This window comes from Homo sapiens, chromosome 10, assembly GCF_000001405.40.
Source record: "Homo sapiens chromosome 10, GRCh38.p14 Primary Assembly".
Classification (NCBI taxonomy): Eukaryota; Metazoa; Chordata; class Mammalia; order Primates; family Hominidae; genus Homo; species Homo sapiens.
In genome coordinates this window covers 22,138,928-22,151,996 of record NC_000010.11, presented here as the reverse complement: position 1 = coordinate 22,151,996, position 13,069 = coordinate 22,138,928, and positions in this window count along the sequence as shown.

The following is a 13,069-nucleotide window of genomic DNA, read 5'->3' as shown; positions in this document are numbered from 1 at the left end:
AGAGAATTCAACCATCACACAAAGGCGAGAAACAGTGGACGCACTTTCACACCTTGTCCAAGTTTAACTAGGACTTGCCTTGCTTGAAGAGGAATAAAGAGAAACAAAGTCAGGAATCACATCAGCAAGATGGCAGACAGTTTTCTGTCATCATCTCTCCACAATGCATGGATTTTGACAACCACCCATAGACAAGAGTACCTTTGTGAGAGTCCTAAAGACCAGTGGAGAAGTTCCAGCATACTGTTGGAAAAAAAAATCCTGGAACAGACACATTGAAGAGGGTAAAACAGTTTCATTTTAATTGAGTCAGCCCTCCCACAAGGTGGCACAGCTCAGTGCCAAGAGAAACCACCCCCTGAGCACACCATTCTTTGCACAAGGGAAAGTGAGAGCGTAGTGAGTGCCGGGCTACCCTAGCTATACCTGGGACCTGCCAAAAGGCCCACCTCTTCCTTGTCCACCCAGAATACAAAAGGAATCAACACAGCTGAGTGGCTGGGAGAGGCTGTGATCAAGTAAGAGAAGAAAGGACCTACAGCAATGAGGGCTTGAAACTTGACAAAGGGCCTTAAATTATACTAACCGCTTCTGGGACTCCATCAGGAGTCCTCTTGAGATGCCTGTCTGGAGGCTCCCTTCTTCCAAACTGGCCCACAAGTGCCCCCAATGCTCTGAGTGAATCACCCTTCTCTCCTGATAGTGGCCAGTTTTCCATGTGTGCCCCCAAGACAGCAGATGTGAGCCTTTGCAGAAAGCTAGACTCTGTGGGATTGGGAGAAGGAACACAAACCTGAAAAGAAAATTATAGATCAATATCCATGATGAACATAGGGACAAAAATTCTCAACAAAATAATAGAAAACCAACATCAACAGCACATTAAAATGATTGTGTAAACCATGATCAAGTGGGATTTATCCCTGGGATGCAAGGATGGTTTGATATATATAAACTAATAAATGTGATCCACGGCATTAACAGAATAAAGGATAAAAACCAAATGGTCATCTCAGCAGATGAAGCAAAAGCATTTGACTCCAACATCCTTTCATGATAAAAACTCTCACCAAATCAGGTATAGAAAGAATGTGCCTCAACTCAATAAAGGCCATATATGACAAGCCCACATCATATTCAACAGTGAGAAGCTGAAGCTTTTTCTCTGAGATCAGAAACAAGACAAAGATGCCCATTCTCACCACTTCTAGTCAACATAATACTGGAAGTCCCAGCCAGAGCCACTAAAAGAAATTAGGCCACAGAAAGAAATAAAAGGCACCCAAATCAGAAAGGAAGATGTAAAATTGTCTGTTTGCAAATGACGTGATCTTTTGTATAGCAAACCCTAAAGACTCCACCAAAAAACTCCTAGAAATAATAAACGAATTCAATAAAGTTGCAGGATACGAAATCAACATACAAAAACCAGTTGCATTTCTACACACTAACAAACAATTAACTATCTAAAAAAGAAATTAAGAAACAATCTCATTTACAATAACCAAAAAATTACATAGGAGTAAATCTATTTATATATTTACTTATTTATTTAGAGAGAGTGTCTTGCTTTGTCACTCAGGCTGGAGTAAAGTGGCACTGCAGCCTCAAACTCCTGTACTCAAGTGATCCTCCCACCTCAGCCCCCCAAGTAGCTGAGACTATAGGTGTATGCCAGCACACCCAGCTAATTTTTAAATTTTTTTTGTAGAGACAGCGTCTCACTCTGTTGCCCAGGCTGATCTTGAACTCCTGATCTCAAGCAATCCTCCCACCTTGGCCTCCCAAAGTGCTTGGATTACAGATATGAGCCACTGCATCTAGCCAGAAATGTATTTAACCAAGGATGTGAAAGATCTGTATACTGAAACTGTAAGACTCTGATGAAAGAAATTGAATGAGGTAAAAATAAATGGAAAGATGTCTCATAATCAAAGCAGTATGGTGCTGGTATAAAAACAGACATATAGACCAATAGAACAGAATACAGAGCCCGGAAAGAAACCCGTACATATAATGTCAAGTAATTTTCAAGAGAAGCACCAAGAATACACAATGGAAAAACGATAGTCCCTTCAATAATTGGTGTTGGGAAAACTAAACCTGAATATCCACATGCAGAAGAATAAAATTGTACCCTTATACCATATTAAAAAGTCAAGTCAAAATATATTAAAGACTTAAATGTAGAACCTGACACTGTAAAACTAACAGAAGAAAACCTAGGGGAAAAGTTTCTTGACAGTGGTGCAAGCAAAGAGTTTTTTGGATATGAGCTCAAAAGTATAAGAAAAATAGACAAATTGGATTCCATCAAGCTAAAAACATTCTGCACAGCAAAGAAAACAATCAGCACAGTAAAGAGACAATTTACAGAGTAGGAGAAAATATTTGCAAAGTATGTATTTGATAGGAGGGGTTAATATCTAAAATACGTAAGGAACACACACAACTCAATAGGACAAAACCAAATAATCTTTTATTTAAAAGGTTTACATTTTAAAATAAGCAAAGGTCCTGAATAGATATTTTTCCAAAGAACATATGTATATAAGCCAGCAGATTTATAAAAAGGTGCTCAACACCACTAATCATCAGGGAAATGCTAATCAAAAGCACAGTGAGAGATCATCTCACACCTGTTAGAATGGCTATTGTAAGAAAGCCAAAAGATAACTAGTGTTGTTGAGGATGTACAGAAAAGGGAACCCTTGTGCACCATTGGTGGGAATGTAAATTGGTACAGTCATTGTGGAAAACAGTATAGAGGTTCTTCAAAAAATTAAAAATAGAACTACCATATGATCCAGCATTCCCACTTCTTGGCACATATCCAAAGGAAATGAAATCACTCCATATTTACAGCAGCCAAGATATGAGATCAACCTAAGTGTCTATGAATGGATGAATGGATAAAGAAAATGTAGTGTGTGTGTGTGTGCATGTGCAATGCACTATTCCACCTTTTTTTAAAAAAGGAAATCCTGCCATTTGCAACAATATAAATGAAACTGGAAGACATTATGCTAAACAAAATAGACCAGACACAAAAATATGAATACTAGATGGTTTCACTTATACGTGGGATTTTTAAAAGTTGAACTTGTAGAAACAGAGAGTAAGGCTGGGTGCAGTGCTCCACACCTGTAATCCTACCACTTTGAAAGGCTGAGATGGGAGGCCAGCCTGGGCAACATAGACTAGCCTTGGGCAACATAATGAGACCATGTCTGTACAGAAAATAAAAATATTAGCTAGGCATGGTGGTATGCATCTGTAGTTTCAGCTACTCTGGAGGTTGAGGCAGGAGGATCCCTTGAGCTCAGGAGGTTGAGAGGTAGAGGCTGCAGTGAGCCATGATCGTACCACTGCACTCCAACCCGGGTGATAGAAAGAGATCCAGTCTAGAAAAAAAAAGAAAGACAATCAAGAGGAAAACATAACAACCTAAAACAAAGGGAGCCAGAATAAATCATCTAAGTTCTTGTGTATGTTTGCATCTAGTTTTAGACTGTGTATTAATCTGCCACTGTTCTATCCTGGTACTACTGCCACAATCTTTATTATAACTTTTTAATATATTAATATCTGACAGGGCAAGGCTGACCTCATTATCCTTCAATATGCATTTATAATTGTAAAAATCTCTCAGCAAAATATAATAAAAGGAAAATTCCTTCTTCTTATAAAGTATATCTAACAAAAACCTGCAGCAAACATATTTAATGGTGAAAAGTTTAAAGCGTGCTCTTTAAGTTAGGAACAAGACAAGAAAGCCAGCTGTCATTGCTTCTATTCAATATTATTAGAGAAGTTCTACCCAGTAAGGTAAAAATAGAAATAAAAGATGTAAAGATTTGAAAAGAAGAAACAAAACTGGCATTATTGTCAGATGATATGCCTATGACAGGCATTCAGAGAGAATCTACAGGAAAACTATTAGAATTAAGAGGTGTGCTCACCAACCTTCCTGGATACAGTATCAAAATATAGAAACCAATTTGCTTCCTGTACACTTAGAGCCAGGGACCCAGTCCAGAAGGACTTGCTAGGCTTGGTCGGGGGAAGATGATAGGAGGGAGGTCTTTATAGGTTTTGTTTGTTTGTTTTGTTTTGAGATGGAGTCTTGCTCTGTCGCCCAGGCTGGAGTGCAGTGGTGCAATGTCAGCTCACTGCAAGTTCCGCCTCCCAGGTTCACACTATTCTCCTGCCTCAGCCTCCCGAGTAGCTGGGACTACAGGTGGCCACCACCATGCCTGGCTAATTTTTTGTATTTTTAGTAGAGATGGGGTTTCACCGTGTTAACCAGGATGGTCTTGATCTCCTGACCTCGTGGTCCGCCCGCCTCAGCCTCCCAAAGTGCTGGGATTACAGGCATGAGCCCCCACACCCAGCCCTTTACAGATTTCTGAAGAAGACAGTGTCATGATCACAATTTTGTAGTAACAGGTTCCTTTTGGCTGCTGTGAGGAGAAGGAACTAGGAGGGATGGGAGGGGAGGCAGGGAGTCCCAGAGATCTGGCTGCTGATACAGGTCAGATGAGAAGTGGCAGTTGCTAGGTGTGCATGGTGGACGACGTAGAGATGGTAAGAAGTTTATGTATTATACAAACATTGAACCATGACTCATACAAATAATTCATTTAAATTGGCATAAGTGCTAAAAAGAAAAAGAAAAAAGTTTTAAAGTACTAAAATTGAACATATCAGGGAAAAATAGTTGCCACCAGATGGCAAAGAATGAATAGCTTACTATATAAAGAACTTAGTCCATCTAATAGGAAAACACAAAGTCCGTAATAACCTGTCCACTCTGCTTCCCTTGGTGAGCCGGTTGGTTCTCATTTACAAACTTCAAAGCATATTCTATACAAGTATGTTGATTTTAAAAAACCCAGTGACATCCAGAGAGAAAAGAGAAACTTTCCAAAATTGACTGAATTCATTTGCTGGAACAGAAAGGGTTGCACTTCTAAGAGACATCTGCAACCCCATGTTTATCACAGCACTATTCACAACAGCCAAGATAAGGAATCAACCCAAGCGTCCATCAACAGATGAATGGAAAAGGAAAATATGGTACCTATACACAGTGAAATACTATTCAGCCCTAACAAGGAATGAAATCCTGTCATCTGTGGCAACACAGATGGAACTGGAGGACATTACGTTACATGAAATAAGCCAGGAACCAGAAGTTAAACACCACATGTTCTCACTCATATGCAGAAGTTAAAAAAGTGGATTTCATAGAAGTAAAAGATACTAGAAGCTGGGAAGTTTAGGGAGAGGGAGAAGATAGGAAGAGATCATTTTACATAAGAGAGATCCTTTAAAAAAAGATTCTTTTTGTTAAAGGATACAAAATTACAGCTAGATAGGCAGAATAAATTCTAGTGTTCTATGCTTAACAATATGTTGTACAGTTTCAAATAGCTAGAAGGAGGATATTGAATGTTCCCAATACAAAGAAATGATAGCTGGCAGTGTGTCCGGAGTTGGTTCCTTCCAGTGGGTTCGTGGTCTTGCCGACTTCAAGAGTGAAGCTGCAGACCTTCACTGTGAGTGTTATAGCTCTTAAAGGTGGCACAGACCCAAAGAGTGAGCAGCAGAAAGATTTATCATGAAGAGTGAAAGAACAAAGCTTCCACAGCATGGGAGGGGACCTGAGCAGGTTGCCACTGCTGGCTGGGGTGGCCAGCTTTTATTCCCTTATTTGTCCCTTCCCGTGTCCTGTTTCTGTCCTACAAGAATGCCCTTTTCTCAATCCTCCCCATGATTGGTTACTTTTAGCATTCTGCTGATTGGTCCATTTTACAGAGTGCTGATTGGTCCATTTTACAGAGCACTGATTGGTCCATTTTACAGAGCACTGATTGGTCCATTTTACGGAGTGCTGATTGGTCCATTTTACAAACCTCTTGCTAGCTACAGAGCTCTGATTGGTGCATTTTTATGGAGCATTGATTGGTGCATTTTACAAACCTCTTGCTAGCTACAGAGCACTGATTGGTGCATTTTACAATCCCCTTGTAAGACAGAAAAGTTCTCCAAGTCCCCACTGGACCCAGTCCAGCTGGCTTCATCTCTCAATCCCCCCTCTAAGCAGGACACCCCAACTACTGTTGGGAATTGGGCGATGACAACTCTAGCTACTTCCTGCTGGATAGGGGTGAAGAAGGGGCCGTGTAGTTGTAGTGTCCTCTAGAGGGGAACTCTGTAGGCCAAAGGGCCAGTGGGTTGGTCCGGGGGTCCTCGGTAGAAGCTATGAGTTGAGCTCATTTGGGGTTCCATTTGTAAGACCATTTGTAGCTTGATGGCATCAATTTTGAAGGAAACAAATTTGACAAGGAGGTTAAAAACACAGGGCCTGAAGGCGAGTAATAGCAAGATGGCTGTCACTGGACCTAGAAAGGGGAGAAGCCATGACGCCTAACTCCAGAGGTTGGTATAAGAGTTTGAAAGGCATTGTCTGATTTCAGAGGCCTTTTTCTGTAAATGCCAGGTGGTGTCTCATACTATCCCTGACTGGTTAGTGTAAAAGCAACACTCTTCCTCTAAGAAGGTGCAAAGTCTTTCTTTCTCACCAGAGAGGAGGTCTAGGCCTTGGTGGTTTTGGAAAGTCACTGCTGCCAAAGAGTCTATTTGGGATTGTAGAGTAAGGATAGATTTTGTTATTTCTCACAAACTGTCTAAGAAATCCTTTGAGAGTGTGCAGTAGTAGGATAATGAAGTGGACAAACCTCTATTCTGGTTCCTGTAGCAGTAGCCATTCCTAACCCTATAATTAGGGGTATTAGTTGTATGGCCTGGCACTGACGGACTTGAGCTTTGAGGGGCACAGATAGGGTCTGATGGTCTGATTTCCACAAGAGTAGAAGTTAGGATAATACATGTTACACTGTTAACTTTTAGCAAACTTTATTTTTGTAGAAAACCTTGTAAGTTTGGGATTTCAATTATTCTTTGCTATTAATATGACCTCGTTCAGTACATGTTAACTTACAATTGGTATAGATGGCTCCTTCCTGATTCTGTAAGTACTTTAAGATTTGGCTGAGTGCAAACAGCTGGCACATTTGAGCAGACCAACTATTAGGCAATTTTCCTAACTCTGCTTCTACAAGAGTTTCCTTATCGCTTACTGAATACTCATTGTGACTTTTCCCCTTAATTGCCCAGGAGGAACCATCGATTGTCCTGAAGGGAGTTCCTCCTGGGTCTGGTCAGACCTTTGTATGGTAATTAATTAAGATTTAGATCCCCTGTTAGGAAATCTGCTGGGTTAAATCATCTTTTTCTATCAGAATAGCACCATACTTTAATATTTTTGAGTAAGTAGCTACCTTTTTTTTTTTTTTTTATTTAGAATGATTTTGACCTGGTGAGGTGTGCTCACAATGAGGTTACCTCTAAAAGTTATCTTCCTACTTTCTTCTGTTAGCAAAGCAGTTGCCACTACAGATTAAATGCATGTGGGCCATCTGTGGGTTACTGGGTTAAGGATAGGTAGGCTGTGGGTTTTCAGTGGCCTCAGTGCTTTCGGGCTACGTCCTTGTTCACACTGACAACAAGGTAGTATTGGAGTGTTATAGGGTTAAGAGAAGACCATCAATTATCAATTATAGGTTTTAAATTTACCCTGGCTTTTAAAGGAATAGGGTATGCTGTTTTTTTTCTTTACTACTTCCATCTCTCTTTCTTTTTGACTCCCTCTTTGTCTCTCTGTGTCTTCCTCTCTCTGACTCCCTCTTTGTCTCTCTATCTCTTCCTCTCTCTTTCTCTCTCCTCTTTGTCACTCTGTCTCTTCCCCTCTCTCTTTGATGGCTTCAGCAGTATAAGACTTCCACCTCCTTGGGTTTTTGCATTGCGTGAAATAACTTCATGATTTCCTTGTGGCATTTAATGGGGGTTCCCCCAGAGGTTAGGAACGCCCTTTCTTTCCATATTGCAGCATGGGCGCATAGGATTAGATAAACATACTTGCCATCTGTATACACATTTATTCTTTTTCCCTTTCCCAGTTCGAAGGCTTGGGTAAGCGTAACTAGTTCTGCTAACTGGGCACTTGTCCCTGTGGGAAGAAGCTTACTTTCAAGTACTGTTACATCACTAACTATGGTATAACCTGCCCTTCATATCCCATTCTCCACAAATGAACTTGCATCAGTATATAGGTTAAGGACAGGATTAGCTAAGGGGACTTCTAATATATCCTCTTGGGTGGCTTAAGTCTGGGCAACAATTTGTTGGCAGTCATGCTCGATTGGTTCTCCATCCTCTGGGAGAAAAGTGGTAGGGTTGAGGGTGGCAGATGTGCATATTTGAAGCACCAGTCCCTCAAGGAGTAGCACCTGGTATCTGACAGCCATAAACTTCCTTTGGCACCTAGTATGCCATTTATATCATGAGTAGTTCAGACAGTGAGATCCTTTCCTTGTATTATTTTGATAGCCTCTGAAACTAAGATGGCCACCGCTGCAACTACCCATAAACAGTGAGGCCAGCCTTTTGCTACTACATTGATTTCCTTACTTAGGTATGCCACTGGTTGTGGGGTTGTCCCACGAGTCTGAGTAAGGACTCCAGAGCTATTCTCACTCTCTCTGTGATGTATAAAGAGAAGTTTTGTCTTGTGGGAAGATTTAAGGCTGGAGCTTGTACTAAGGCCTGCTTTAAGGTTTTGAAGTCTTTTACTGCCTCTGGTTCCCATTCTGCTAGATGAGTATTTGCCCTCTGGGTCTCCTTGATTAGAGTACAGAGTGGCCTGACCATCTCGCTGTATCTGGGGATCCATAGTCAGCAAAAACCAGTGATTCCAAGGAACCCCTGCAACTGTTTTAATGTCTTAGGGTGAGGATAAGCCAGTGTAGGCTGTATTCATTCCTTGCTGAGGGCCCTGATTCCTCTGGCTAAGATTAGGCCTAGATATTTAACTTGTTGTAGGCAGAGCTGGGCCTGTGATTTAGATGCCTTGTACCTTTGATTAGCTAGAAAGTTCAAGAGATCTAGAGTAGCCTGCTGGCACGAGGCTTCCGAACTGGTTGCAAAAAGTAAGTCATCCACATACTGAAGGATCAGAGTGCCTGGACTTGAGAAGTGGCCTAGATCTTGGGCCAGTACCTGACCAAACAGATGAGGGCTATCACTAAACCCTTGGGGCAAGACCATCCACATCAGTTGGGATGTGTGGCCTGTGGGATCCTCAAAGGCAAAGAGGAACTGGGAGTCAGAGTGCAGGGGAATGCAAAAGAAGGCATCCTTGAGGTCTAGAACAGTGAACCATTCTGCTTCCTCTGGTATTTGAGAGAGCAGGGTATAGGGGTTGGGTACAGCTGGATATAGAGGAATTATTGCTTCTTTGATGAGTCTAAGATCTTGCACTAGTCTCCACTGACCATTCAGTTTTTGTACTTCTAGAATTGGGGTGTTGCAGGGACTGCTGCATTTTCTTACTAAGCCTTGAGCTTTTGAATGTCTAACAATATCCTGTAATCCTTGATGCGCCTCAGGCCTTAAAGGATATTGCCTTTGATAAGGAAAAGCGGTGGGGTCTTTTAGCCTGATTTGGACTGGGTGGGCATTTTTGCCCTTCCAAATTGTCCAATGCCCAGACTTCAGGGTTGATTCCCTCCTCAAGTAGGGGACAACAAATGGGCAACTTGTTCCCCATATTCATGTAGATAATAGCTCTAGCTTTGGCAAATATGTCCCTCCCTATTCAGGGTGTGGGACTTTTAGGCATAACAAGAAAGCCATGTAAAAAGAGCAAAGTCTCCCAATTACAACTGAGGAGGTGGGAGAAATACTTGGTTACAGGCTGTCCCAGGATTCCTCGGATGGTAACGGACCTTGGGGACAGCCATCTGGGACAGAAGATTAACACTGAGAAGGCCACACCAGTGTCCAGGAGGAAGTCAATTTCCTGGCCCTCAATGATTAAACGTACCCAGGACTCAGTAAGGGTGATGACATGACCTGGCGCTTGCCCCGGGCACCCTCAGTCATATTGTTGGATCATCTGGTTGGGGGCTTCTGGCCCAGAGAATCTTTGTCTTCTGGGGCAGTGCACCTTCCAGTGATTGCCTCAGCATAGTGGACATGGGCGAGGGGGTGGCTTGTTTCTCATTGGACAATCTTTTTAAAGGTGTCCTTGCAAACCACACTGATAACCAGCCCCACCGGGTTATTGGCCTGCTCCATTTTTTGTCGTCTCTGAACTACCAAGGTTTGTTTGTCTGAGGGCCATGACTAAGGATGCAGCCTTAAGCCTTTCTCTGATCTCGCTTTTCCTTTTTGGCCTGTTCCTCTTGGTTCCTATTATAGAACACCAAGGTTGCCGGGCTTAATAACGCCTCCAGATTTTGTTCAGGGCCCAGGGCTCGCTTTTGGAGCTTTCTCCTGATATCTGCAGCTGATTGGGTAATAAACTTATCTTTTAGGGTCAATTGACCCTCCAGTGAGTCGGGTGACAGGACTATATTTTCTTAAGGCCTCCTGTAGCCGCGCAAGGAAGGTGGTAGGATTTTCTTCCTCTCCCTGAGTTATGGTGGACATCATTGAATAATTCATGGGCTTTTTCCTAATTCTCCTTAATCCTTCTAGAACACAGGTTAGCAGATGTTTACAGCTCCAGTCCCCATGATCTGAGTTGAGGTCCCAGTGGGGTCCAAACTGGGGATGGCTTGCTGACTGGTAGGGAATTTGTCCCTTTCTTTGGCTGTCATTCTATCATTTACTTGACTAATATGCCAGGTATCTCCAAACAGGCTGCAGCTAAAGCCGCATTCTTTTCATTAAAGGCCAGGGTTTGATCTAACAATAGCATGACATCTCTCCAAGCGAGGTGGAAGGTTTGCCCTAGACCCTGTAGGACGTCTATGTATCTATCAGGATCATCTGAAAACTTCCCCAGGTCTACCTTGATCTGCTTTAAATCAGAGAGGGAGAAGGGGACATGTACCCAGGTCCGGCCAAATTCCCCTCCCCCTACAGCTTGAAGGGGATATAACTGATAACCTGGGGGTTTTTATGGTCCCTTGGAGATTTCTTTGCTTGTTTCCTTCTGGGTGGGGGAGATTAGAGGAGGCTTATCATTAATAGGAAGGGGAGCTGTAGGGAGGCTAGGTTATGGGGGTAAGCTGAGAAGTCCTCTGGTGGAATGTAAATTGCAAGCTTTGCATAGTTGTGGATTCTCCTTCAATGAAAAGAAAGCTTGGACATAAGGTAGTTCACTCCATTTGCCTTCCCTCTTATAGAAAAGGTCAAGCTGCAGGATAGTACTGTAATGTATACTTCCCTCAGGTGGCCATTTATCCCCATCAGAGAGAGAATATTGGGGCCAGGCCATAGTGCAGCAAAAAGTGAGCCCCCTCTTTTTCAGAGTTTGCAGGTCAAATTGGTCCCAGTGGCTTAGGATGCATTTCAAGGGTGAGCCTGTTGATGCCTGAGTGTTTCTCATCTGAAAGAGAAAACTGCCCGCCATTTTGCTTTGTTTGTTTCCCCCCTGCCCAAGAACCTGCAACAGTCCCTGGACCCTGCTGACTGGAATAGTTGTGCTCAATGACGCAGCAGCAGCAGAAACACTAGTTTTCCTCTTAGACCACAAAGAGGACTGAGGAAGGTCAGATTTAGTGGCCCTTACCAATGCATTCTCAAAAACCTGCACTCTTCCCTTTCCTCTGAGACCACAAAGAGGACCAAGAAAAATCGGATTTAGTGGCCCTTACTGACGCATTCTCAAAAACCTGTTAGAGTCCTAAACATTTTCTCTTGTTGGTACTGGGAACTTACCCTTGTCCTATAAAGATATTATGCCTCAAAATGGAGTGGAGGGCCATACCCTGAGGGAGGGAAGGGATCTCTAGGGTTGGAAGAGTGACACCTTTTGTTCTCACTTCTCCTCATATGAATAGGAGGGATATCATTTCTGAGGCTCCCCATATTCTAGCTTCGGGATAGCCTTTGTTAGGCCTGCTTGTCTGAGGAGGAATCCTAAAAGGATAAATGGTATTCCAGATAGTCCCCCACAATAGAGCTTTGGGCAAAAATTATGTCTTTCTGATTGGTAAGGCTGGGTGCCTAAATAAAGGAAAAGAGTCTTGAAATTTATACTATAAATCATTCTTATAGGAGGAACTAGAAAAGCGCCAGAGACAGGGAGTGGTTTTTAGAAGCATGCTAGCCTTGGAGAAGAGAGGCAGAAGGAAGTTTGTCTGACAGTTGTTAGAACCCAGGAGGCAAGGGTCAGGATAGATAGGATATAGATGGACAAGTCTCGCTTGGGCAATGTGACTTTGAGAGTTCCACTCATGGTTTCAGGGTCAACCAACTTTTTGTCAGGACCCTGGAGCTGAATGGCTTTCCTCTCTGTCGTCCCTTGGCTCAGCCCAGAAGTACAGGAAAAGCAGAAGCTTGTTCCAGGCAAACCAACCCTCCCAACTCCAAAGAGTCGGGGTTGTTAGCCCTTTCCCAGAAAGCCTGACACCCGTGTCTTTAGTCTGGCAGCTCCACTAGTCGCTTTTAACCAGCTCACAAGTGCTTGGTGTTTAGCCCCCAAATTATAAGGAAAAATAGGACAGAATAGCAAGCAAAAGGGGTCCAGTGGTGCTCATCGCATGGCAATATCCCAGACAAACCCCCAAGATGTGTCCAGGGTTGGTTCCTTCTGGTGGGTTCACGGTCTTGCTGACTTCAAGAATGAGGCCATGGACCTTCGCAGTGAGTGTTATAGCTCTTAAAGGTGGCATGGACCCAAAGAGTGAACAGCAGCAAGATTTATTGTGAAGAGCAAAAGAACAAAGCTTCCACAGCGTGGAAGTGGACCCGAGAGGGTTGCTGCTGCTGGCTGGGGTGGCAAGCTTTTATTCCCTTATTTGTCCCCTCCCATGTCCTATTTCTGTCCTATCAGAATGCCCTTTTCTCAATCCTCCCTGCGATTGGTTACTTTTAGAACCCTGCTGATTGGTCCATTTTACAGAGTGCTGATTGGTCCATTTTACAGAGCGCTGATTAGTGCATTTTACAAACCTCTTGCTAGCTACAGAGCACTGATTGGTGCATTTTACAA